Consider the following 27,775-nt stretch of genomic DNA (forward strand, 5'->3'; position numbering starts at 1 on the left):
TATTAACACAGCCCAAATGCCTTTCTTTAAAGGAAAACTTAGACCAAAAGCTCCTTGAGGCCAGGAAAGATGTCTTCAATATCTTTAGATATTTCCCCACCTCCAGTGCGGGTCCCGGTGGTTGGCACACAGTAGCTGTTCAAGTGAATGAACGAATCACTTTTGATCAAAAGAAGAAGCAGGGCTTGTTTTTCAAATTGAGAAATGGGAGTGGTTGTATTGTAGCTGCATTGTTGAGTCTCCTGTGTGCCACGTGATCCAGCAGGAGAATCATAACCGGGCTGAGCCCACTCTCTCCCATGCTGACAGTGCTCTTAGCAGCCGCGGCCACAACACGACCTCAGTGACAGCAGCCACGGCGGGCCAGGATCTGTGCTAAGGGTTTTCCATGCCTCCGTTGCACGTACCCTAACAACCACCCAAGGAGGGGGTGTTGTCTTTGTATCCCAGAACGGTTAAGCAGCTTACTTGGGATCACACAGTAAGTAGCGTGGCAAGAACTTGCACTCAAGCTTGTCTGAGTCCAAGAGCCACCCCAGCACACTGCTCACCATGGTCTTCCCAAAGGGATCGGGCTTATTCAGAAAGCCGATCAATTGGAAGGACCACGTAGTCACCGTAGAAGAGCTTGGGAAGAGTGTCAGGCAGTCTCAGGGGTATTTAGGGTCTCCAGGGTCCACTCCCTGGCATTCCTGGAGGGCTCTAGTGAAAGCGTGATTATCCCGGGCAGCCTTCAGCAGTGGAACAGCAGGGAACGCCAGGGTTAGGAAAAGCCGTGGGAGGGAGGAAGAAGCTGGAAGGGAGGGCATGCCCGCCTGAAGCCTGAGTAGCCTCGGGGTGTGCAGGGGTGGGGAGTGGTGTTTTGGACGCCGGCCTGGCCCCACCCTGCTGACTGCCCCTGTGGGAGGAGGGTGGGGCCGTGAAGGGAGGGTTGTTTATAAGCACCTCTGGCCTTTGAAAAACACCAGCTGATGGCGCCACTTCCTTCGCTTCTAGTGTAAGGCCCCTCGGAGTCAGTGTCACTCCAGCCACCTGCAGTCCCCAGCCCGGGCTGGGGCGGAAACGCAGGGCAGCAGAATGAGCGCGGGTTTTGAAATCCAGCTGTGATTTGGACCAGCTGTGGGCAGATTACTTAATAGCTCTGTATCCTTCTTGGGAGTAATAATACCCACCTTATGCAGTTCTTGTGAGAATCAAAATGAGTCCAAGCATGTGAAATATTTAATGCCTGGCATTTGAGAAATGTTCAATAGTAGTTTCTATTCCAAACTCGCCCATCCTCAGCCCACAGTCAGGGTGGCTGTTCCCCATTGTAACCCTCTTGAGTGCATTACTGATATGCTCTAGGGTATGCTTGAGAGAGGATATGGGAATTTTCCTTCCACTCTTCACCTAGGTTTTTACATATGATCCTTATTTGTGGAGTGGTAGCAGTAAATCCTTGAGGGCATGCATGCCCACGGTTCCGCTCCATGTTTATTAAAGACCTACTATGTGCAGACACTGCTGGGGACAGAAAAATGAATATGACATAGCCCTGCCCTCAAGAACCTTATAGTCCAGCTGAAGAGATAGACATACAAATAAGCAATTTAAATATTAGGCGTTAAATGCTGTGATGATGGTGTGTACAGAATGCTAAGACAGCACAGAGGAAGGACAATGAGCATAATCTTGGAGCTGAAGATAATGTCCCCAGGAGGGTACGGTCTGAGATGAGTCTTAAAGGAGCCAGGAGAAGTTAGCCAAGGTGGTGACCTTGGACTTATCCAATGAACTAAGCTGGAACCGCATTTCCCAGAATTCCCTTCCCTGTGTGGCTCTGGGCTCAGACTGACCCCATGAGAAATGTGCACGAGGTCTGGAGGGTAGAAGGAAGGCAGCAGCTGTGTAGATGTTCCTTGTGTCAATGTGGAGCCGGGTAGCTCACGCTTGTTTTTGCAGATCCACAGACTTCCCTTGTTGAGGTGAGGCAGCGCCTTCGACGTCTCTGACTCCTAGGCCAGGTGTGTGTCTAGCTCCGTGATGGAAGGTGCCAGCTTCCCTTGTAAGTGACCAGCATGGGCTCTGCTTCACCCTTCCGGGCTCCCAGCTTACCCAGGTGAGTTCTGGTTTGCTCTGGCTCTCCCCACTTCAAGCCTCTTTCCTTCCTAACTTCCTGCCCTGCTGACTTCAGGCCCAGAGCCAGATGCAGAAACAACAGATGTGTGTAAACTGTTGAACCAGCTCCTACGATTGCATGGGTGGGGGTGGGGAGTCAAATCCTGTAATAAATCCTTTGTTTGAGATCACATTGAATGATTCTACTTCTCTGGTTGAATCTCTTTTTTTTTTTTTTTGAGACAGAGTCTCGCTCTTGTCACCCAGGCTGGAGTGCAATGGTGCGATCTCAGCTCGCTGCAACCTCTGCCTCCCAGGTTCAAGTGATTCTCCTGCCTCAGTCCCCCAAATAGCTGGGATTACAGGCACCTGCCACCATGCCTGGCTACTTTTTGTATTTTTAGTAGAGACAGGGTTTCACCATGTTGGCCAGGCTGGTCTCGAACTCCTGACTTCAGGTGATCCACCCATTTTAGCCTCCCAAAGTGCTGGGATTACAGGCATGAGCCACTGCCCCCGGCCCTCTGGTTGAATCTTGATGGATGGACCAGTTAAGGATGGCTGAGGAAAAAGGTCCACACAGGAGGAATAGAACGAGCAGAGTTATGAAAGGTGGGGCTCATGCAGGGAACCACAGGTGGCTTGGCATTTCTAGAAACAGAATGAGAAGCAGAGAGAGCAAGAAGACGCTAGAGAGGGAGGAAATGGCTGGGCCGTGGAGGAACTGAATGGCATACTGAACGTTTGGCCAGTGCAAGATACAGCTGAATGAAGGAGGCTTCTGTATGCGTGGCGATGCTGCTGTGAAGTTTACGTGACCTGTTACGGTATTTGCTGTTCTCTGAATAATGTTCCACATGACAAATTTACTTCAGAATACAGTCCTTTTAAAAATGTTGATTCCTTTCTACAGTCAGATAGCAAGAATTAGGTGATATATTCTATCAGGACAGGGTAGGTTATACTGTCTAATAAATAAACCACCTATTTCAGTGGCTTCGTGATAAAGGGTTTGTCTTCCTCATGTCATGCTGGGCAGATGTTTTTCTTTGGTGACTCTTTATCAAGCAGTGTCTCAGGGCCCCAGGGTCCTTTTATCTCGTGACATTGCAAACTTAAATGTGTGGCCTTTGAGACTGCCAAGAAAATGAGATCGCAGATTGTGGACAATCTTGCCGGTCGGGGTGGGGTGGGTCACCGCTGGGCCTGAGTGTGGCTTCTGTAACTTCCAACAGGTCCTCACAAGTAGCACCCAGTCACCCGTCCCTAACTGCTAGCAGGCTGGGGAATGTGGGCTGGGAAAAGGAAAATAAAATGAGATCTGATAAATACATAGCATTGTATCTGCCGCTATTATCAGTTTGGAAGCTTTTCTTTACGGCTCCATCCCAGTAAAACAGTAACGGTGCTGGTGCATAGTTGAAATGTGTAGGCTTCCTTTTCCATTACACCATTTAGATCTTCTGTCCTTATTTCCATGCTTTTAGGTATTCAAAGACAAAAAACAACTTGAATTTTTCACATCACAAGTGAGTGCTTCTATTCTTCCATTTTAAACTACTCCTCTACTTCTATCTAGACGGGTGGCCCTAGCTTAACAAAGAACCTTTATATGAAAACACATGGTTGAAGGTTCTCTTTTTTCTTTTCTTTTCTTTTTTAATTGAGACAGAGTCTTGCTCTGTTGCCCAGGCTGGAGTGTGGTGGCATGATCTTGGCTCACTGAAACCTCCACCTCCTGGGTTCAAGCGATCCTCTTGCCTCAGCCTCCCACGTAGCTGGGATTACAAGTGCGTGCCACCACACCTAGCTAATTTTTGTATTTTTAGTAGAGACGGGGTTTCACCATGTTGGCCAGGCTGGTCTCGAACTCCTGATCTGAAGTGATCCGCCCATCTCGGCCTCCCAAAGTGCTGGGATTACAGGCGTGAGCCACTGCACCTGGCCCCAAGATTCTCTTTCTAGAATGCTTTTCTTTTGTGCCCTGGGATGAATACTTGGGTTCCAGGATTGTTTGGATTACAGAATATTAGCTAATGAAAATGTAGAGTGGTTGCTTTTCATAATTATGCAAATATAGAGAGCAAAGAAGTTACAGGTGACCAAGCGCATCATCATCACCCTTCCTATGTCTGTTTGTCTTGAGTCTCCCCAGTCACAACTCATTTACAGGGAGGCCAGCACAGGCAGGATATTACTGGTGTTTTGATTCATGGTTTAGAATGTATTTCCCCTTAGACATAGGGTTACAAACAATGATTAGGTGTATCTGAAAGAGAACCACAAGTCTTATCATCTTCAGGCACATGATGGATTAAGCAGGTGAAATAAAACCATTTGTTACATTAACTGTGGCAATTGTATTACAAGTTCCAGACAAAGAACCTAAACTTTTGGAAAAGGTGCTTTATTTATTTATTTTTTTCAATTTCCAAGAGGTTCTAATTGCAGATTTTCAGGCCATAATGTTTCAAAGATCAAAACAATAATGTAAAATGCTTTGAATTATAAGATATTACACAAAAGATAATTCTGTTCTAATTTTTTGTAGAGAACCTCAGATTGAGCATTGTGATATTGTGATGGTTAATTTCATGTGTCAGCTTGGCTAGGCCACGGTACCCAGAGAGTTGGTCAAACAGCAGTCTAGATGTTGTTGTGAAGGTGTTTCATAAATAGATTAACATTTAAATCAGTAAAGTATGATTAAAGCAGGTGACTGTCCATGACATGGGTGGGCCTCATCCTATGAGTTGAAGTCCTTAGGAGAAAAGACTGAGGTTCCCCGAGGAAGAAGGATTTCTGTCTCTAGGCTGTCTTCAGACTCAAGCTGCACTGTTATTTCCTTTCTGGGTCTCCAGCCTGCTGGCCTTCCCTGCAGGCTTCAGACTTGCTAGACCCCGCAGCAGCGTGAGTCAATTCCTTAAAGTTATCTATCCATTATCTATCTATCTATCTATCTATCTATCTATCTATCTATCTATCTATCTAAATATCATCTATCTATCTAACTATCTACCTACCTACCTATCTATCTATCCATCCACCTATCTACCTATCATTTTCCTACATTCTATTGGTTCTGTTTTTCTGGGGAATCGAAATAGAGACATATTTTCGAGCAAAGGAAAACAGCCAATATTTACTAATTTGCATCTAAAAATATTAAAAATTGTGCATCCACATACAAAATGTTCTTTGAGAAACACAAATCCAATTGATGACGGAATTTGTTATTTCTTTGTCGTCAGCCATCTTCCATCTTCTCCTATTTTCTATAAGTCCTTTCTGGGGTCCCCCCTGCCCCCCACTTCTGGGTTCTTTGCTTGAGCGCACAGCAGGCAAACACTTTTCGATGGGAGAACCCATAGTCCAGTAATGAATTTAGGACTGTTCACTTTCAAATCTATGGAGAGGATTATTCTCACTTCCTCCTAACTCTTATTTCACCTCTGATAAGGAATTCAGTTCACGTTAGGTACACATTCAGTACCTTCCCAGAGACAAAGGAAATTGGTGCTAACAAATATTAAATAGCATTTAGGACACAAGCCAGTGGAAGAAATGAAAATTTAAAATATGACTGACACCGTCTCTGACCTACCCCTCTCCATCCAAGTTTGGCTGGACTCCTGACGCTCTGTGTGATGTTCCATACTTGGGATATGGTTGGATATTTGAACAAGTAAGGTTGCACAAAGAATAAAATGTCAGCTTTCTGAAGGTGATTTGTATTGTGTGAGGTCATACCTCCTAATGAGGTACGTAGGAGAAACAATGTCCTGTGAAGAACTAACGCTGCTCATGTAGCTGTCCTTGTGGTGTGTCAAAAAGCGCTCATGTCTGTTGAAAGAGTCCAAATGAAACAAAAGTAAGAAACAGTGAAGAATTACACATAATAGAGGTCAACTTGCAGATGTCCAGTCTAGGATACATTTTAGGAAGCGTTCCATTCTTTTCCTTATTATGTTGGAAGACAATAAATCTGAGAAGATTAAAAATGAGGGGATGTGGGGGAGGCTAGATTAGGAGTTCAAATCATTCTTGCTACTCCTTCTCTTTCCTTGTTTTAGAAGCTGGGAAGATAGTGTATATCTTCTAAATTGAAATGGCCCATCATAAACCTCATAATGTTAGAAATTCAAGTCCTATTTATCATCCACATTAAAGACAAAAGATATCGAGTATGCAGCTGTCACTTGGGCCAGTGTTAAAGAAGTTAAAAGTAAAAGCAGACGGCAATGTAGGCATTGACTTGTGTTTCAGAAGGCACAGGAAAGAACAATTAGGGGAATAAAAATGAAATTTGCCTATACAGAAGAAATATGGTTAGTTAAACCATAAACACTGAGTAACACTGAATCAGGGAATGAGGATCTCTAAGGTCCCATGCAGCCTTGCAGTGCGGGATCTTGGGAGAATGACAGTCTACTTTCTGCTTTCCTACAGATAACTGTTTCAATTTTTTTTTTCTTTTTTTTTTTTGAGACAGAGTCTTGCTCTGTTTCCCGAGCTGGAGTGCAGTGGTGTAATCTCAGCTCACTGCAGCCTCCACCTCCCAGGCTCAAGCAATTCTCCTGTTTCAGCCTCCCGAGTACCTGGGACTACAGGCTCATGCCAGCACGCCCAGCTAATTTTTATATTTTTAGTAGAGATGTGGTTTCACCATGTTGGCCAGGCTGGCCCCGAACTCCTGACCTCAGGTGATCTGCCTGCCTCGGCCTCCTAAAGTGCTGGGATTACAGGCGTGAGCCACCGTGCCCAGCCAACTGTTTCAATTCACATGTTTGTAAGGCAGGAGATATCCAGGGGTTCTTCTGGGTTCCCACCCCTGGAGCGCAGTGCCTGGGACCCAGGAGGCTCTCCATATATTGCTGAGAAATCAATTCCTCAATAGATATTCTAAAATTAACATATCAAGGTTGTGCCTTAATACGCAATAGGATTGTCAGAATTAAGTCCTAGGGAACTTGTTCTTAGTCTCAGGTTTTTGCCTCTAATTGTGCGTCCTTGGGCAAGTCAGTAATCTCCCCAGGACTCAGTCTCCTCATCCGCACAATGAGGAGTGTCAATTAGATGGTCTTTATATTGTCTCTGGTACAAGCATTCTATGACTCTGTGAAATTAGCTTAGGTTACCCAAAGCTTAAACCACATAAATCCTACTTTACAATTCAATCCAGTTCAACCATAAACATTTAAACAAATATTTATTAAGTACCGCCTATGTGCAAGACACACCATCATCTGCCTGAGGTACGTGAGGATGAAGGCTGCCATCCGCTCTTGTCCTCAAGGAGCCTACCCTCAGCAAGGGTGGAAGACAGGACATGAAGTGAGTACTGGAAGGTTCCAGAACTCCTCCAGGGCAGCACTGTGTCCTTCGTATTGGGATGGTCATGTTCTTAGAACTGGGGGAGGGGCTGTGAGCTAAAAAAAAGGAAAGTCGAATGACATTCAAAGGGTAGTGAATTCACCTATGGCCAGAGCAGGAGCAGAACTTCTCCACGGAGGGAAGCTCAGTGTGTGTTCGGGAAAGAGCAAGCGTTACTCTCGAGCTGAATTACAGGGCATGTGTGGAGAAAAAGGGAAGGGAAGATGGAAATGGTAAGTGTTGGCAATTTGCAGAGGGTCTTGAAAAATGCAGAACACAGAGACTGTACTAAATTGCTGTAAACGTTTCCCAGGAAGGGCAGGAGAGGATGTTACATGACAGATCAATCAGACAACAGACGGAGGGGGATGGGGGCATATCCATTCAGTTAGACAGAACTTGGGGATGGCTGGGGATAGGACAGCTTCCTTACTCTTGACCTGGTTCAGCCACAGGGTCATGCTGTAAAAATAGCAAATGGTGATGAATGTGTTACTGGAAAGGGGTCCAGACCCAGACCCCAAGAAGGGGTTCTTGAATGTCACGCTAGAAAGAATTCGGGGTGAGTCTATAGAATAAAGCAAAAGCAAGTTTATTAGAGAAGTAAAGAGACAAAAGAATGGCTATTTCATACACAGAACAGCACTAAGGGCTGATTGACTGAGTACGTTTATGGTTATTTCTTGATTATATGTTTTATGAGTTTTCTGGGAAAGGAGCAGGCAAGTCTCGGAACTGATGGTTCTTCCCCTTTTTAGACCATATAGGGTAACTTCTGGATGTTGCCATGGCATTTGTAAACTGTGAGGGTGCTGGTGAGAGTGTCTTTTAGCATGCGAATGCATTATAATTAGCATATAATGAGCAGTGAAGATGACCAGAGGTCACTTTTATCACCATCTTGGTTTCAGTGGGTTTTGGCCTGCTTCTTCACCGCTGTTTTATCAGCAGGGTCTTTATGACCTGTATCTTGCGATACCAGTCCTGCTGACCTATCTCATCCCGTGACTAAGTATGCCTGGGAATGCAGCCCAGCAGGTCTCAACCTTATTTTACCCAGCCCCCTTTCAAGATGGAGTCACTCTGTTTTGAACGTCTCTGACAAAGGCGGTGATGGGACGGAGCTGCTACGCAGACCCTGTGCTTCTGAAGGTGTTTCCTCGTTTTGCTAGGGTCTCCCCTGGAAGTGGTTTTCCAAGCCTGTTATTGATGCAGCCTGTTGGGGGGAAATTCGGCTCTCCTCCTGGCTGATTGCCCATTGCTGGGATTTTGACCATCCAGCAGCGGTTTGGGACACGTCGGGGTGAAATGGCTCTGAAGGGAGTGGCCGTTGATGATCCTTTTTTTAATTTTGTTTTTTTGTTTTTTGTTTTTGTTTTTTTGGCTCCAGCAGGACATATCACATCATAAGGCAGTGTTGGAAATGGGAGAGCCAGGATTATCTCTGGCTTTAATTGTTAACTTAATTGCTTTTTCATTTTTTGGCTAGCCTAGATGGTGAAGCAAATGGAGTCGAAACATATATTCTTTGCCATTTATTAGAATGGCGATAATGAAACGTTCATTACTATTAGACCAGAAAGATAATGCTACAAGGAATTTCATCTCCTGGTTTCTTTATTTCTTTTTAACCTGCCTCCTGCCTGATTTGTTCTTTGTTTGTTTGTTTTAAGCAACTCCTAGCATTTTGTATGCCTTTTTGACATGGCAGCCCCAGAAATTTCATATAGCAAGCAAACTTCACGTAGGGCAACAGTCCTGGATAGTGAGACTTACGCTGCAGCACACTGAATAGTACTGGGGAGTGGCTCTGGTAGGGAGACTATGAAAGGTTACCGTCCTCCTGTTCACTCCTGGATGCAGAGCTCCCTGCCAACTCCATCTGTTTAACTGATCCCTCCTTCTTTTCTATTTTTGTTTTTGGGCAATTGACCCACTGAATGGCCTTTCCTCATCTTGCCGCTTTCTTCCTCAGGATTTTTGTTCTCTTGTTGATCTTTGGCAAAGTCTCTGTGTATATGTTTGAGTTTTTATCCAAAGATTTCTTTTTTCCTGCCTTTTTTATACCGTATTTTCATTTACATTACAAAGGAGCTTGCCCTTTTGCCGATTAAACAATGGATCATTCATACTTCAGTTTTAGATGTTTGGATATCTCGACACACATGTAAGAACAGATGTTTTCATGCAAGTATGACTGTCAAAGTTAATTCAGCTTTATTTGCAACTGCTATTTTAATAAAATTTGGATTTTTTTTCGACTGTCACTCCTTCCCACTTGTGGCATTTTACTTATTTGGAAATACAATATTCACTACATAGTAGAATTATATGTTATTCCCTTGTGGTTGATATCTTTGCCTCTAAAGCTGACTTTCTAAGTTTTCAGCATTCTTGAATGTAATGCTTCTGCAGTAGGCAGGAAAGCGCAGTGTACGGTAGTTACAGTCTTCTAAACAGCTGCCCTAGGAATGATGTACCCACAGTTTTCAGTAAGGTTAACATAGTGCTTTATCTGGTGGGTCTCATGCACACACACACATATACCACAATGCAAACCTTATGCTCAAGAAAGAAAAAGTTATGGTGCACAAGAAAACAAAACCGAAGAGATAAAAGGCAGAGCAAAAACCTCCTCAAAGTAGGGTATTTGTTTAAAGTTGCTAAATTACACATTTTGGACCCTAAAAATGTTTGTGAAAAGTGCTCTGAAATTATCAGACCACAGTACTCCTTTTGAGTCTGAAAAACATCTTGAGGTTGGGTGACATGGTGCATGGCAGCTGGGCTAGCCAAAGAAGGATGTGTAGTCAAGAGTGTTGATGGGAGACAAGAGGGTGATGGAGAACTAAGGGTCTGTCCCTGCAGGTTTACAGACTGGGCATGATGGAAGCAAGGGGGTGACAGGGCTCACAAGATGAGCACTTTGGTCAGAGAGAGGAGATGTTGGCTATTTAATGCTTCAAAGGAATCTCAAAGTCTTGTGTGTGACATTGGGTGTGGGTAGAGTTGGCGGGGAGTGAAGTGGAGGTGAAGGTGGCTGGAGCTGAGGTGATGAGGGACCAATGAGGTGGGCAGACTTCTAGATGGTCTGTGTGGATGCTGCTGTCACCCATCATGTTAGCAGCTCAGGATAGAGGGCAGAACTGTGAGCCGAACACTGTGCCTTTTCCCATTGCCTTCCTTAACTAATTGTCAATCCATCATTCATTCAACATTCATTCAAAAATGAATGTGCATTAATTGTGGATCATATGGCATTGTTCATTACTGAAGTTACAAAAATAAATCTGGCCAGGCACGGTGGCTCACATCTGTAATCACAGCACTTTGGGAGGCCAAGGCAGGCGGATCACCTGAGGTCAGGAGTTCAAGACCAGCCTGTCCAAATGGTGAAACTCTGTCTCTGCTAAAAATACAAAAAATTATCTGGGTGTGGTGGTGCATGCCTGTAGTTTCAGCTACAGGCTGGAGGCAGGAGAATCGCTTGAACCTGGGAAGCAGAGGTTGCAGTGAGCTGAGATCACACCATTGCACTCCAGCCTGGGCTACAAGAGCGAAACTCCGTCTCAAAAAAAAGTAAATACATTTAAATAAATAAATAAAATAAATAAATCAGACGCGGTTCCAGAGCATGGAAAGCTTACTGGCTGACTGATAAGGGTGAGCATGTACTAGTTATCTCAACCAGAGCCTGTAAACCCATAGGGCTGCAGGGGCCAGGTGGGGCATGGAAGGATGAAGCCAGCAGGTGGAATAAGGAGGAAACGTTTGGCAACTGTAGTGAACCGGAGAGCTCATAGCTCACTTAAGGCAGGCAGCCATTATCCATGTTGGCGAATCTTTCAATTTAAAAAAGAAAAAGCCAGACACAGTGGCTCATGCCTGTAATCTCAACTAGGCTGAGATAGGAGAATCACTTGAGCCCAGGAGTTTGAGGCTGGAGGGAGCTATGTTCGTGCCACTGCACTGCAGCCTGGGTGATAGAATGAGAGCCCATCTCTTAAAAAAAATAAATTTAAAAATAAAAGAAATGCAGATATCTGGGAATGAAATTTCCCAATTTAAAAACTTTAGCAAGCAATTAAACTAATAAAAATATAGTTAGTATGGGCCAATGGTTTGTGTCTTCTGATTTAAATAACTGGAACTGCAGGCCAACTTCGGTTCTTGTTCTGATTCTACCCCTAACTTGCTAGTCAATCACCTAACATCTCTGACCCCAGTGACCTCTGAAAGGGGCAGGAAGCTGTAGGGCATGAGCTCTAGGGTCTTTCCCAGTTCTCTGATTATAATTTCAGTGTCCAAAGAGACTGCTGATTAATTTCCTTCTGTCAAGAAGGGTGAAAAGTATGGGACCATATCTTTTATGTTTCTTCCTCTGAAATGTGCAGTGTCAACAGAGGGCTGTCACTCTGGGGGAGTTCATTACAGTGACTAATATTGGCCTCACTGGACTCTGAGAAGGAGCTAGGTTTGGAAGCCACCATGATGAACTTCTGTTTTCCTTTCTCTCTCTCATGCTTGTGGTCAAGAAGGGAGGCAAAGGAATTGTTTAGACAGACATATAGTAGAATCCCAGGTCTGTAAGTTAATGATCTTTGTGATTGGGCAAGTCGTTTCCCCTGAGCCTTAGATATCACTGGCTGTAGAGCTAGAAAAGAGAATGTCCTCCCATAAACATGTGGATGCTTCCCTCTTCCAGAGGAGAAACATATCACCATATGTCTATTTGTTTTTTTGTTTTGCCTCGACTGCTAGTAAGTTGACCAGAAAGCAAAATATCTGGAACAAGTTAGTTTAATTCTCTGAAGAATTGCTTTGACTAAATTATAATTGAATGTCATCTCAGTATGTGTGTGTGTTTTCTCCATATTGTCTTCAAAATTGCAGTCAACGGCATTTTTCAAAATGGTTCAGCCTGGTCAACATGACAAAACTCCATCTCTACAAAAAATAGAAAAATTAGCTGGGCATGGTGGCATGTGCCTGTAGTTCCAGCTACTGGGAGACTGATGTAGGAGGATCACCTAAGCCTAGGGAGTTTGAGGCTGCAGTGAGCCATGGTGGTGCCACTGCACTCCAGCCTGGGTGACAGAGGGAGACCCTGTCTCAAAAAACAAACAACAAACAATTAAAATGTTTGCTCAGTATTGCTTACATGGTAAGATAAACAGAGAGCTCCTGTGAAGGAGGCTGGTGGAGTTATTTGGTGGCCGTCTGGCTCCCCGCTGAGCTTTTGTTTTGCTGAGTGAGGTCTGCAGGGGAGCACACTGAGCTGAATTGCTTGGACCAATAAAGAGGATTTGTGGAAGCTGTGTGACGAGTGGAAAAACGGGAGGAAAAGAAACCTAGTTAAGGGCCACTGGAGAAGAAGCCTTGGGATGGATAAGGACAGAGATACCTATTATGCAGTTGGATGAGGTTTGCCATGTGCTATGTGACATTATCCCCTTCTTCATCTCCTCACAAAAAGACACCACTTACCAGTGACTTTTGGTGTTTTTTGATGAGCCAACCTCAAGGCATGCTGGAGATGAACAGAGGCCACCTAAATGGTCCAACCACCCTTGGTTTACACTGAGAGAGGGCTACCATAATATCTTCTTGCCAAATAGTGTTGCCAGGAAACAGTATGTCTTACCAAATAAAAGTATATGCTTCCTTCTGCCTAAAGAGAGCTATGTGATTCATTGAATATTACGTTTGTTTGTTTAGCTTTAGCTAAACAAGGTTAGAACAAGATGTAGTGCTCAATTGTATATCAGATTTCTTTGTTCTCTCTCATATAATTTCTGATCTCTCTTTGCTATGTTTTTTTAAACTGCATATTTTGTATGTTTTCAAGACATCTTATATTTGGGTGTTCTAAGACACCCCAAATGGTTTGTGGAAGCCAAGGAGGGGCTAACCCAGCGCTATGCAATGGAACTTTCTGCGTGATGGAAATGTACTGTATCTGTGCCATCCAATATGGCGGCCACCACCACACGTGGCTCTTGAGCACTTGAAATGTGGCTAGTATGACTGAGAAACTAAATGTTCAACTTTGTTTAATTTTAATTAATTGAAATTTAAGTTTAAATAGCCACCTGTGGATGCCCTGTTGGACAGCACAGTCCTACACCATTTATAAATAAACAAATGCTTCTGAACACCTGGAAAGGGTTTCGTCTCAAGTTCAAATGTTCTTTACGTGATGGATTTATTTAGAAAAATCTTTTTGTGTAATAAGAAACAATTATTTGTATTTGTATAATGAGGAATGATAAGGAAGTTTAAACTCCATTTACTTATAAAAGTAACAAAATTAACCGAGTACTTTATATTCACTGGAGCTTTGGTAGTTTCATTATCAATTTACATTCAAACTTTTACTAAATAACTAAAAATAGGGTTGCCTAACCATCAGAACTAGATGATAGCTCTTATTTTAAATAGGAAGTCTGTGAGAGACAACTTTAAAAAAATAAATTTTAGTTCTATTGCTTGACCTGGGTGGTATTTACCCAGGTGTCCGACTTTATAACTGTTTGTTTAAATGTTCTTACATATCATATGCACTTTTTCTGTATCTGTTAATTTTCACAATAAAATATAAAAATGACAGTCTCTTCCAATTTTAAAAGTATAATGTGTTGAAATTGTAAAAGTATTCATGTCATAGGCTGATTAAGGAAAAATCATAGAAAATCTAGAAATAAACCAAGAACAAATGGGAACTTAGTATATAATATATGTGGCATGTCAAGTTAGTGGAGAGAAATATGAATTTTAACAACTGGTGATGGGAATATTTTTATCTGTTTTATAGAATAACCCTATGCATTGGAATTTATATTTACTGTAATCAGGTTGTTGTTTGAATTTGTTTTTCTTAATTAAAAAAATGGTGTTAAGATACTGTTATAGCTATTAAAGATCAAACTATGCCACTTACATTTACATTTAAGGCCAGGAGCAGTGGCTTACATCTGTAATCGTGGCACGTTGTGAAGCCAAGCCTTGAGGATCCCTTGAGGCCAGGAGTTTGAGACCAGCCTGGGCAACATATAAGATCCTGTCTCTAAAAATTTTTTTTAAAAATAAATTTACATTTACATTCAAATATGTAAGTTAAGAGCAGGCATTGATATCACATTTCCCCAGCAAGTCTGTATTACGTTCAGTTTTAATTAAAACTGAAAAAAGTAAAAGATCTCCAAAGACTATAAAGTTGGAATGTGGCATCATATGAAAGTGATTTTACAAACCTAAATTTAAATTATCCCTTTGTTAATCTTAAAAAATGTTTTTCAGCTGTTACCTGCAAATTTTTTTCTTACTTAATTTTAATCTCGTTAGGTTGATATTCTTACTTTAATTAATTATGAACCCCAAATTAATTCTAGATAGAAAAGTGTTTACACAGAAGAAAGTGAAGTCCTAAGAAAAAAAAAGGAAATATTGGTGAGAACTTTTGAATAATCTTTGAGTGGAAAACAGCTTTCTACCATACTACCAAACTCAGGAACCACAGTGGAAAATAATCATAAATTTGACTATAGACTTAAAAAAACTCGTTGTAGCAGGAATCTTCATAAAGTAAAAGCACAAACAAATGTATTTACAACATAATGGCAATAAACAGTCTGATTTCCATAAACTGTACAAAAAGTTCTTTTAAATTTGTTTTTAAAATAATAGAAAAATGGGAAAGGGAATTCATATATGAAGAAATACAAATGGCTAATGAATATTAAATACTCAGTATCAATTATTAAAGAAAATCAGATTAAAGCTTTACTTTTGAAAATAAGTTAATTATTTACAAGGAAGTGTAATACTTTCAATCAACCAGCCGAATTATTTTATCTCTTCCTGAATTTTCAACTTGCCATGCATACCTTTAGCAGAATCTTCAGGAAACGATTTCTGTGAAAATGACCCCTTCAGCAATTAGAATGACTAAAAAAGAGAAAAGATGATCTTATAGGTTCACAAGGGTGCAGAGCAACTGGAAGTCTCATTCATTGCTGGTGGGAACGCAAACAGCTCAACGACTTTGGAAAACACTTTGGCAGTATCTTGTGAAGTTAAACACACATTTTCCACACAATGCAGCAATCCCACTCCTAGGTGTTTACCCAAGAGAACTGGGAACTTTTGTTCATATAAAAATTGTGCGTGAATGTTTCTAGCATATTTATTCACATTCATCAAAAGCTGGGAACAACCCAAATATCTTCAACTGTTGAGTGGGTAAACAAACCGTGGTATGTCCAAATAATGGAATACTGCTCAGGACTAAAAGGGAACAAATTACTGATTAATGTAACAACATAGATAAATTTCATACTAAGTGACAGAAGCCAAACTTAAAAGACACATTTTGTACAATTCTGTTTACATGACATCCTGGAAAACACAAAATTATAGGAACAGATCAGTGGTTGCCAGGAGTCCAACATGGGGGCTTGGGTTGATTACAAAAGGGCAGTGTGAGGAAATTTGGGGGGTGATGGAACTGTTCTGTCTTGATTATGGTGGTCTAACTGCACGCACTTGTCAGATTCACAGAAATACACATCAGAGAAGTTAATTGTATTGTACATAAATTAAGTGAATTTAGAATTTATGTCTTTCTAAATTATTGTATTAGATTGAGAGCAAAACAGGTTGTTATTTCTCCATTTTTTGACTTAGATTTGATTATCTTTGTTCCTTTTTTTCTGAAGTAGACTTCTACATTGATGTATAACATACATATAAAAGTGCACAGATCATACCTGTAAAGCTTGATGAACTATTACAACTGTCATGTGTTTAACCAACTGCCACCCAGATCAAGAGACAGGCTGGGCACAGTGGCTCACTCCTGGAATCCCAGCACTTTGGGAGATGGCGGTGGGAGGATTACTCGAGACCACGAGTTTGTGACCAGCCTGGGCAACACAGAGAGACCTTGTCTCTACAAAATACAAAAATTAGCTGGGCATCGTGACACATGTGTGTGGTCCCAGCTACTCGGGAGGCTGAGATGGGAAGATCGCTTGAGCTCAGGGAGGTCGAGGCTGCAGTGAGCTGCAATTGCGCCACTGCACTCCAGCCTGGGTGACAGAATAAGACCCTGTCTCAAAAACCAGACCAAAAAAGACAAAAAAAAATAGGACATTACCAGAAGCCCCTCCCTCACCCCCTTAATCTTCCAGAACCAGTATTCTGACTTCCAACACTAGAGATTATGTCTGTTTTTGAACTTGGTGCAGATAAAATCATACAGTATTGAATATTGCACTCTTGATAGGTTTACTTATATTTCAGGTTAGTTTTGTGTGTAAAGCAGCATAGATATACCAAATAACAATAAGGAGACTAGACTGGTCAAGCACTATGATTACTTCTAGGTCTCAAATGAAGTCTGAGAGTTGAGAGAACTCTGACATATTTTTTGTTTGAAATACATTTTTGGCCAACAAAATAGCCTTTTTGTTGTTGTTGTTTAAAGCTAATCTGAATGCATTTGGGAAATGCACACCATACTGTTTCTTTCTGATCTCCAGAAATCTATTTTTCTCCAGTATTATTTTTCGTAGTATGGGTAGACATCAGTCTTAAAATTGGCCTGACACCCTGATCCTGTCATACGATACATCCTTGGTACTTCACCCAGTGATGATCTATGAACTTTTCCTGCTTTGTTCTTTGGAGATCAGGCTTGACTTTTGCTCGGTTATATTTAAAGCTGTGGGGAGAAGAGACTTCTTGAAAAATATGGTACTGAAGCCTGCTGTAAACTTGAATATTTGGAAACCTCTAGTAAAAGTAAATCCATATGGCAAGTCGGGTCCCAGCTTGATTCCTGCATAATTGGGTCCAAGATCCTTCATGAACTTGTGTGAGTGTGTGCGCACAATCTTGTATATGCTCTTTGTTGTGGAAGTCAGTTATGCTGGTTTTTGTTTTTGTTATTCTTTCCAGTGAGAGAACCTGGAGTATCAGTTCTGAGTTTCAGGGTTGGGGCAGGTTTTATTTTCTTAACAGTAACCAAGCCACAAAAGGGAAAAACAAAACAATCTCTGACAATCAAAAAATGTCTTGAAAAATAATATCAATAACAAATACTAACTTTTAAGAGATCAACAAATTCAAAACCTAAATTAAATATTACACCCTTGGATTCTTTTTACAAGCCTGATGGACCGGAGTCAGCCCCAACCACATAGCTCAAGTGAAGGATGCCCTCAAGCTGGGTGTGACCAGCGGGGCCACCAAACCATGGATTCCTTGGTTATTGTAACTCAAAAATAAAAGACTGGCCTTTGTGAATAGGGCTCAGCCAGAAGATTCTTCATTGTATTCACTCATTTCCTCTCTCCACCTTTTGTTGTTAGAATTCCAACTCTAACACTTCTCACTCTTCACAGTGAGAGATTTAATGCAAAAAACTTTTTTTTTCTGTTGTTTATTGTTGTTAGTTTCCAAGTTGAGATCTTGGCAAGATTCACTGATGAAATTATAAACTACCCCTATGGGACTCAATACAAGTTGGCACTAAGGGTCTACAAATAAAGTCATAGAATGTTAGTGTTGGAAGTCTAATCGGTTTCATTCTGCAAAGGAGTGACTGGGCTCAAAGAAGGTACATGGCTCGCCTAAGGTTCCATAGGTAATTAGTGGTGGAGGAGGACCAGTATCTTGGAAGCCTCCAATTTTCCAGTCAAGCACTCTTTTCCTGTTTTATTTTTCATTCTCCCAGAATGTACTTAGGTGGGTTGGATTGTTGCAGTTGGAAGCATGTGCGTTGGAGTCGTGTCTCAGGGATTTTAGTTAAGATGTTTAGTTAAAGGGATTTATTGGATCCTGTAACTGAATAGTCTGAGGGAGGGTGAACTTTGGGATTTGGTTTGATTTGGCAGCTTCATGACATCTTCCAAGACAAGGCTTCTCTTTCACCTTTCCATTTAGCCTTCATGGTGTCATCTCTTTGTGGTTAATATATGGCTGTCAGTAACTCTCTGGTCTTCATGCTTCTTCATGAGGACCCAGTGAGTGCAGCGGTCATTCTGGAAGCTTCCAGAAGACCTCATCAACTCTTTCTCCACATCCCACTGGCTTCCATGGCAGATGGGCCCATTTCTGAAACTTCAGCTGCAGTTGGGGGATCAGGTTATACTGATTAACTTAAGCCTGAGTAAATGTATTGTTCTGAAATCAGTCCCCTTCTCCTGAAGCATGTGAATGGGACTAAGAAGTGTGAATAACAGTGAAATCAAGGTAGTTGCCAAGAAAGGGAAAATACATGTCAGGAGGCAACTCAATGTCTACAATAGTTGTAAGTATCAGAAATCAACTCGAACTAGCTTAAACAAGGGTGGGAATTTATTACACAGATGCAGGTGTGTCTCATAGAGCCTGAGGCCAGGGAAGCTGCCGGGTATGGGGGGAGGGGTGGGAGTCAAGAACCAGAGAACCATCAGGAACCCAGATCATCACTCTGCCCTGCCCTCCCTGCTCCTTTTTCCCCCTTCCCTCTCCTCCCTTCCCCTCCTTCCTCTGTCCACTGACTAGCTGTCTCAGAATTCTTTTTTTCCTTCTTTGAATTTTTTTTTTTTTTTGAGACGGAGTTTCGCGCTTTTTGCCTAGGCTGGAGTGCAATGGCACGATCTCGGCTCACCGCAACCTCTGTCTCCCAGGTTCAAGTGATCCTCCTGCCTCAGCCTCTGAGTAGCTGGAACTACAGGCACCCAGCACTACCCCTGGCTAAGATTTTGTATGTTTAGTAGAGACGGGGTTTCACCATATTGGTCAGGCTGGTCTCGAACTCCTGACCTCAGGTGATCCGCCTGCCTCGGCCTCACAAAGTGCTGGGATTACAGGCATGAGCCACCACGCCCGGCCGCTGTCTCAGATTTCTGATTCCTCATTCCTATTTGGCCAGCCTGGGTCAGGTGTCCACCTTGGGATGAGCAGAATGCACTAACACAGATAAGGCTGCCTGCCAGGCCCCTCCGTGTGGTGAGATGACGGCCTGGTAAGCACGTAGTTCTTAGAGCATTGAGGCTAAGATGGCCCCCACTGAAGGCACCGTGAAAAGGGGATTTTCAGCCCTGGGTCATGATCCTGCTCCAAGGTGCTCCGTCGTTCTGGGTTGCAGCCTATTGGGGAAATGCCTCCATGGGCGAGACATCTGTTGCCAGTGCCACCCCCAGCTCCTCCCATGGTCCTCAGGTGTGGAGTGTGAAGGGAAAGATGTCAGGAGGGGGAGAAGCAGATGACATGGGTAAGAGGAGAATTCTTACTTCTACGTGGCTCCAACGGAAATTTGCAGCCATAAAACCCAAAGGAGGTATTTGCTGAATCACAGGCACATTTTTCTGGCGTTGAAAGCTGAACTGGGCAAGGACGTTAATGAGAACTAGTCCACAATGATCTCTTTCAAACCCGAATCTCTGTGCTGGTGATCTCCACAGGAGCCAGGGAGCCGCCTCCCCGAGACGAGATAGCACATTCCCAAGCTTCTCAGACTCAGGTGCCCGCTCTCTGTTGACTCTCTGCATCCCCACCCTTTCCTCCGGGAGGGTGACTCATGGTGCTGGGGCGGCAGTGTCTGAGGTCTGAGAGCAAAGTCAGAGATGACTCTTTTGGGGGCTTGAAACTGTCTATTGCAGCGAGGAGTCCTTTCGGTCTCACCCTTGAGGGTGCATCTATCAGAGCTTTTGTCTGTTTTACAACTTCCTCCTAAACCTAGAACAATGGATTTAGAAAAGGGCAGGAAATCTATGCCTGTCTACTCCAGGGAAGGGGGCGTGAGTAGCATGGTTGGTGCCTTTTAGGTTAGGTCATTTAATACAGGCTGGGGCTAGTGGGTTTGAAAACTGGAAAATTTCAGGAGGGTCTCACCCCAAGTGCCCTCAAACTTCCCACAGGAGCAGGATCATTTTGAGACTAGCAAAATGTATATAGGAGAGAAAAAAAAGTAAAATAATAATAATAATAATAATAACAATAATAATAATAATAATAAAGTATATAGGGTAAGTGGCTCAGGTTAGCCAAAAGTTAAGGGCTTATAAGAAAATGAAAAACCACAAGGAAGACCTCATTAAAGAGTGAGGTTTTATTAAGGAATTTGGCTTTAGTGCTAAAACCCGAAGGAGTTTGACAGAAGAGGAGGAAAAAGATGGGATTGATGACTGACATTGTTAAGCATAAACTATGGATTTATGGATTGGATACCAAGAGCAACAGCTGTGCAGTAACTTTTAATAGTACCTCGGACTTTACAACACTCTTTTTTCACATTCGCAATATTTTATCCTCAAAGCCACATTCTGAGGCAGGCATTATCTCCATCTTGTGGATGAATAAAATGAGGCTTGATAAGGTAAGTACTTTGTTTCAAGTCTCCTACCTGGTCAGCTTTGGAGCTGGGATACAGATTCAGGTCTTCTAATGCGTTATCCATCCTAATACTCTGTCATTCATCACAATTAAGAAAGCCCTTCAGTCTTCATTATCCCACTCTATTTTCACGACACAATAGCACAGGTATGTTTATATCTCTTCCGGCTAAACGGCAATGATATTTACCAGGTAGTGACTCCTTATTCCTTATGACGTGTCAGGCTGTGCACTGAGTTCTCCACAAGTATGATCTCCTTTGACTCCTACCACAATTCCATGATCCTTCCTTTTAAAGGTGGGGAAACTGAGGCCTGGAGAGGCTGGGAAATTTGCCCAAAGCTGCCCAGCTGTGGAGTGTTGCAGCCTGAGTTCTCACTCCAGACCCATTGGTCATTAGTTAGGTCTGCCGAGTTAGGTCTACACAGGATGGTACTGAACCTTGAGTCAAGGTTTCCGAGTCTTCCTACATCCAGCTTATTGGATTACACTTTTTTTTTTTTTTTAAAGATACAGGGCCTTGCTCATTTGCCTAGGCTAGAGTGCAGTGGGGCAATCATAGTTCACTGCAGCATCCAACTCCTTGGTTCAAGCCATCCTCCCTTGTCAGCCTCCAGAGTAGCTAAGAGTACAGGTGCACACCACCATGCCCAGTTAATTTTTTAATTTTTTTTTTGTAGAAACGGAGGGGGGGGTCTTGCTTTGTTGCTCAGACTGGTCTTGAACTCTTGACCTCAAGTGATCCTCCCACTGCACCCATCAGAATTATACTCATTTAATGGACACTTACTGAGTTCCTCTTTCGTGCTGGGTATGTTGCTAAGTGATAAGGAGGAAAATTAGCACAGAAGGTGCTTCTGTGCTCCTAGAGCTCTCGGAATAACGGTGAAGTGCCACAGCAACGTTCACACTGTGTGACATTCACACTAAGTGTGACAGTGGTGTGTGTGGAGTCCTGGGTGCCCGGGGTCACCGGCACACCGCTATGTGGAAGCATGTTTCTGAGAGGCAAAGGCGTCGTCATAGTCAGGGCCTGCTTGCACACTGGGTACAGGAGGCACAGTGCCGAGGGCCCATGGTACTTGGAGGAATCCACAAAAGGGTTTTTCTTTCTTTCAAAATCAGAACAAAAGTAAATTTTTAGGCCAAAGGCTTGGTCTTCATATGTCAGATTCATTATATTTGTCTATGCCAATGTGGCTGCAAATTATAATTTATACATGTACACTATTTCCTTTTTTTGGTGGAGGAAAGGTCTAGGAAGACAGAAATGCCCAACGGCCCAGTAGAGTCCTAATGCACCCCTGATGATAGTAATTTATTGGGAGGCAAACTCCTGCCTGGATTCTGGACCTGGTTTCATTCTGTGCTGTGGGACAGGTGACATGGGCTACATGCTCCTTCAGTCCAACTTCCAGGTTCATCAGGGTATTTACCTTCAGGCAGTGCAAAGGCAGCACTCAGAGACAGCAATTTTTTTTTTTTCTTTGAGACAGGGTCTCACTCCATCACCCAGGCTGACATAGGAAGACACAGCCTTTGGCCTAAAAATTTACTTTTTTTCTTCTGATTTTGAAAGAAATAAAAACACTTTTTGGACTCCTCCAAGTACCGTGGGCCCTCAGCACTGTGCCTCCTGCACCCATTGGGTATAGCGCAGGAGTACAGTGGCGCTATCTTGGCTCACTTCAGCCTCAACCTCCTGGGCTCAAGGAATCCTCCCACCTCAACTTCCTGAGTAGCTGGGACCACAGGTAAGCACCACCATGCCTGGCTAATTTTTTGTATTTTTAGTAGAGACGGGGTTTTGCCATGTTGCCCAGGCTGGTCTTGAACTCCTGGGCTCAAGCGATCCTCCCGCCTCAGCATCCCAAAGTGCTAGGATTATAGGCATGAGCGACGGCACCTAGCCGAGAGCAATTTTTAATAGCAACAATGATGGTAATGATGGTAGCTCCATACCAAGTGCTAGGCACTGCGCTGAGAGCATTCCAGTCATTATCTTTTCAGCACTTGCTAGGTTTCGGGTGTTTTCCTAATATTTCACAGCTGCATTGGGCTCTACTGCAGGGCCTGGCTTTGTGCATGGGGGTTGAGAAGGAGAGCCTGGTATACCTATTGTCATCTGATAATAATATAGGGTATATAGAGAGATATGTAGTATATATACTCTGTATAGAGAAGATATATATATATAGTATATATAATATATAGTCAGATGACTATATATAAATATATTTATATAATAAATATAAATATATATCTATATAGAATAGATGACAATACATACAAATATATATATTTGTGTATATATGTATATATAGAGAGAATCAGATGACAATATATACATATATATATAGGTATGTTTTTAATTAGAAACAGGGTTTCACCATGTTGTACAAGCTGGTCTTGAACTCTTGGGCTCAGGCAATCCTCCTATCCCAGCGTTCCAAAGTGCTGGAATTGTAGGCACGAGCAACCACGCACAACTGGCCCCCTTCTCATTCTTAAAATATTTTTAAAAATCTTAAAAAGCACTTTTTCCTTGTAAGAACTCTACTCACAGTTTTTATTATTATTTTTTTTCTCAATGGCAGGACATCTTATGGGCGTGTCTTGGAGGCTTTAGCTGGTAGGAGTTGGGCAAGGAAGAGAGAGAAAGGCACTCAAAGCAAACACTTCCCAGGTGTTGATAATAATCTGGATGCTGGGACCTGCACAGGTTGATTGTGGAGGTTCCTGAGGAAGTCCGCTTGGAAAGGGTGGAACTTAGAGGTCTGCCATAGCGAGCCGACTGTCTCACTTTAGAACATCTGAAGGCTGTTTCACACAAGACAAAACGAAGCACCTGAATGCCTTCGTCCTGAGCACCCACTAGCCTGGGCTCTGTGGACTTGCTCTCATGCTTGCATTTCCCTGCAGGTGTTCCATTCAGAGACGCCCAAGACCTGAGGCCGCTTGGGTTCATTGGCCTATTGATGGCCTTGGATCTGTCTTGCCAGAGCACCTCCACAGTGTTTTGGAAACATGTGGGTTGGGATTGACCAAAGCTGACGTGACTAATGGCAAAGTGACCACGGTTTGGGTCAACGTTCTCTGACCATGAAAAGAAGAATCGTTGTCTGTCCTTGCTAGGAACCGCACATGTGCCAAGTTTATTTGTAATGTGTTGCTGGGGATATTCCTACCAATAATGAATAATTAAGCCCAGAATTCATTTTTGGGTCTTTGTTGGGTTTTTCTTTTCTTTTTTCTTTCTTTTCGTGACTCAACCATTAGCTTGTGTGGCAAATATAAAACTGAAATCTGGTAGTCACCCACTACTTAAAACACCTTTAATGGCTTCCTTCTTTTCTTAAGAGAAAGGCTTAAAATAATTGATCAGTGGCGCCCAGTCCCTAGGTAGTCTCTGTCCTACCCAGCTCTCCAGCCTCACTCCTGGCCCTGTACCCACTCTGGCCTCTGCTTTGTCCCTTGGACTACCCAGATCTTCTAGTTCCACAAATGCACCCATGCTCTCCTGCGCAGGGTCTCCCCATCAGAAAAGAGCAGTCCTCCACCTAGATGGCTCTTCCTCCCTCTTCACTCCCAATTAATTCTGTCTCACCCTTTAAATCTCTGCTCAGATATTCCTTGTTTGGAGATACCTTTCTTAACCTCCTTGGTTACGTGGTTAGGTTCAACCCTCTTAACCTTATGTTCTTTTTTTTTTTTTTTTTTTGAGACGGGGTCTTGCTCTGTCACCCAGGCTGGAGTGCAATGGTGTGCTCTCGACTCACTGCAACCTCTGCCTCCCAGGTTCAAGCGATTCTCTTGCCTCAGCTTCCTGAGTAGCTGGGATCACAGGCGCGTGCCACCACACTCAGCTAATTTTATATTTTTAGTAGAGACGAGGTTTCACCATGTTGGCAAGGCTGGTCTTGAAATCCTGACCCCAGGTGATCCGCCAGTCTCGGCCTCCCACAGCGCTGGGATTACAGGCATAAACCACTGTGCCAGGCCCCTTACGTTCTATTAAAGTGTGTTGTTCCCCTTTATTGGAACCTTTATCCCAATTGTTTTGTCAACACAAAATTGGAGTGTTTATCCCAATTGTTTTATCAAACTTATTTTGTGATTCTTTGATTCACGTCAGTCTTTCCTACTAAATCCCCTGCCACAAGGGCAAGCACTGTGTCTGGTGCCACTGACTACTGTCATCCTATAGGATGATAGGCATTTAATCAATATTTGTCCAATAAGTGACAAAATGACAAAATGAACAAATGACAAAAATGAATGAAAGATCGATTAGGGCAAACCAAACCCTCGTTGAGAGATTACAAAACAAAAAATTACTTGAATATACAAGTCATTTATTTAGAGAAAAATAGGGTTATCACCATGATACCTAAATTAGTCATAGAACACACAGAGTTTTCTGGTGGGGAGGGGAGAATCCCATAACCAAGCAGCCTCACATACAAGATGATAGATGGCTATTATGTATTTTTTCCTTCTCTGTATTTTTCTTCACGGAAGCAAATGGAACTTTCCAAATATCACTGTAGGATTGGAAAAAGTGAAGCAGTCCGTAGTGCCATTTTGGGGGAAGGAGGGGGAAGAAGGGGAAAGGAGTCTGAAAAGCGTTTATGTTTGCTAATGGAAGTCAGATGTAGTACTCATTTTATGTTACTTAAGCAACGTGCTACATTTTCTCCATTAGTGGTCTTGTCAGGCATAGGATGTTTACAGGAAGTTGCACTAAGATAAGTGTGTCCTTTAAATTCTGTATCTTTCAGACCTTAGCAGTCTGCTGACTCCAGCTTTCAGCAGAGCAGAAACAACGCCTTGGGAAGACTTAAAACAACTTTGAATAAGAACCTGCTTGAGAAAGATTTGCCTTACAAGCTAAATGTTACATTTCCACTCAACAGAAAGGTACTGCTGTGTGGCCGTAAAAAGCTGGCCAAAACCCTGTAACCTTTGCAGTTAGTCATGTTATTTTTGGTTCATGCCAACATGGATCACAGCTGTGACTCAACAGAGCCACTGAAGCAAGAATTCAAAGAGTTTAAAGAACAGCAAACTCAGAAATGACTTTTTTTTTCTTATGGTGTCATTACGCAACATTTCTTGTCGTTTACCTTTTCTAATTTACCAACTCCATACAGATGAGCTCAGTCGTTGTTTGGCAATTGAAAATCTGAGTTGCGTCAGCACACTTCCCCAAATCCCACTGCAGGCGGAGGATGATGAAGCTTTCCTTTCTGGGGTGTTTGTTTTACGTAAGTAGTGACTTACTTTTCAGAGGTAAAAAAAAAAAAAAAATCTGTGTTGATATATGTCTCCCTCAAACCAAAAATAGGACTGGGGATTGATTTAAACGTTTGCAGTTCCCCATTTGAAGATGACAGAAAGCCCATATCGACTGGTTCTGCCTTTGTTTTTGTTTTTCACTAATTTATATTCACAAAATGAAGCCATAAGCTTAGACCTCACCGAATGGAAAACAGGCATGGACTTCAGCAGGCAATATATTAGCATATTTATCAACATCCTTTAGATTTTTGCTTTCATTTTTTAAATTACCATGTAAACTTGAAGATAACCCCAGTTTTCCCATTTGTGGGAACATAAGAAAGGGAGATGAAAAAAAATAATATTTGTCCCTTATCTATGAAGTGCTTTTATTTTTTAAATTTTTTTTATTACCTGAAGAACTACATTATCGTCAATATGAAGTGCTGTTTTTTTAAGCATTATGATTAGACTTAAGGATTCTAAGGACTAAAGTATTAAGGTGTTTTTTGTTGTTATTTGCTAATCATTAATCAACTGTTTTACCTGATTAATTTTCTCTTTGGGAAAATAGATTGAGATTGTGATCTGGGAGACCAAAGTAGACATTACTTTATCAATGAAGAAGGACCTTAAGGTTAACGAAACAAAAAGTTGGCCAGGTGAGGTGGCTCACGCCTGTAATCCCAGCACTTTGGGAGGCAGAGGTGGGTGGATCACGAGGTCAGGAGTTCAACACAATCCTGGCCAACATGGTGAAACCCCGTCTCTACTAAAAATACAAAATTAGCTGGGTACGGAGGCACACACCTGCAGTCCCAGCTACTCAGGAGGCTGAGGCAGGAGAATTGCTTGTACCTAGGAGGCGGAGGTTGCAGTGAGCTGAGATCATGCCAGTGCACTCCAGCCTGTGTGATGGAGCAAGACTCCGTCTCAAAAAAAAAAAAAAAGAAAAAAAAATTTTACCTATGGATTGAGAGCTTAGGGCCCAGCTGGCCTTGCGAATTTCTAAATTCCTGTAAGAAAATCCACACTCTTGCTAAACTCCCTAACAATAGGAGCTATTGGGCAAATTATCCTAACTCCAATTTGCAATCCAGACCACTACTATTCTGATTGGACAGAGGACAGGCCTTACAAACATTCTTTTCTGATGAGCAATTGCAGACCTTAAGCCAGTTTCAGCCAGCTTATAGAGGCTGCACACACACTGTCTTTGTGTCCTATAGTTCACCTTTTGCCCCAAAGTGAATATGGGATGTATATTACATGTTTGTTTATTCATTGCTCCTGTGCTTGGCTCTCCTCATAAATATGTATAGCTTCTACCCCAAACCTGCTGAATACGTATGACTCTATTGTGTAATACAGACTCTCAGAGGAATGAGACCCAACCTGTCCTTCCCCTGTTTGAAGAGAGAGCATCTTTGGTCCATGCTGGAGACTTTCTCTTCCAGCTTGCAACTGATATCACCAATAAAGCTCTTCTTTCTACTATTTAGTCATCCTGGTGGTCTTTTGGATTATAAGTTTTTGTGTCCCATAGTTATACCCATTGCTTAAGCTTGCCATATAGAAAATGCCATTCATAGACACAGCTCTTCATTTGAGTACTTAAAGGTAAGTTTAAAATGTGGAA

At 42.6% G+C, this 27,775-nt stretch overlaps 1 long non-coding RNA gene across 2 annotated transcripts, besides 3 other annotated features; it reads left to right on the forward strand.

Moving 5' to 3' along the window:
* Positions 1-299: 299 nt before the first annotated feature.
* Positions 300-27,633, forward strand: LOC105374906 (uncharacterized). Of its 2 annotated transcripts, XR_926437.4 has the most exons (4): positions 300-481; positions 1,945-2,101; positions 25,638-25,776; positions 26,010-27,633. It is a non-coding gene; the product is annotated as an uncharacterized LOC105374906 (long non-coding RNA). The 2 variants fall into 2 exon arrangements; XR_926436.4 differs by having other exon boundaries at positions 25,638-27,633.
* Positions 12,429-12,999: an enhancer, noted in NCBI's record as "NANOG hESC enhancer chr6:7685011-7685581 (GRCh37/hg19 assembly coordinates)". NCBI's record gives its function as "activates a minimal SCP1, AML or CMV promoter by ChIP-STARR-seq in naive and primed H9 embryonic stem cells {active_cell/tissue: H9 hESC(naive and primed)}" and the evidence as "EXISTENCE:reporter gene assay evidence [ECO:0000049][PMID:30033119]".
* Positions 23,714-23,878: a silencer, noted in NCBI's record as "fragment chr6:7696296-7696460 (GRCh37/hg19 assembly coordinates)". NCBI's record gives its function as "represses an EF-1alpha promoter that drives an FKBP-Casp9 reporter gene in an ReSE screen in phorbol 12-myristate 13-acetate-treated (for megakaryocytic differentiation) K562 erythroleukemia cells {active_cell/tissue: K562(+PMA)}" and the evidence as "EXISTENCE:reporter gene assay evidence [ECO:0000049][PMID:32094911]".
* Positions 25,927-26,221: an enhancer, noted in NCBI's record as "tiled region #4297; HepG2 Activating DNase unmatched - State 4:PromP, and K562 Activating DNase matched - State 5:Enh". NCBI's record gives its function as "activates a minimal TATA promoter and a strong SV40 promoter by Sharpr-MPRA in HepG2 and K562 cells {active_cell/tissue: HepG2 | K562}" and the evidence as "EXISTENCE:reporter gene assay evidence [ECO:0000049][PMID:27701403]".
* Positions 27,634-27,775: the final 142 nt, after the last annotated feature.

The sequence above is a fragment of the Homo sapiens genome, chromosome 6 (genome assembly GCF_000001405.40).
Source record: "Homo sapiens chromosome 6, GRCh38.p14 Primary Assembly".
In the NCBI taxonomy this organism is placed as follows: Eukaryota; Metazoa; Chordata; class Mammalia; order Primates; family Hominidae; genus Homo; species Homo sapiens.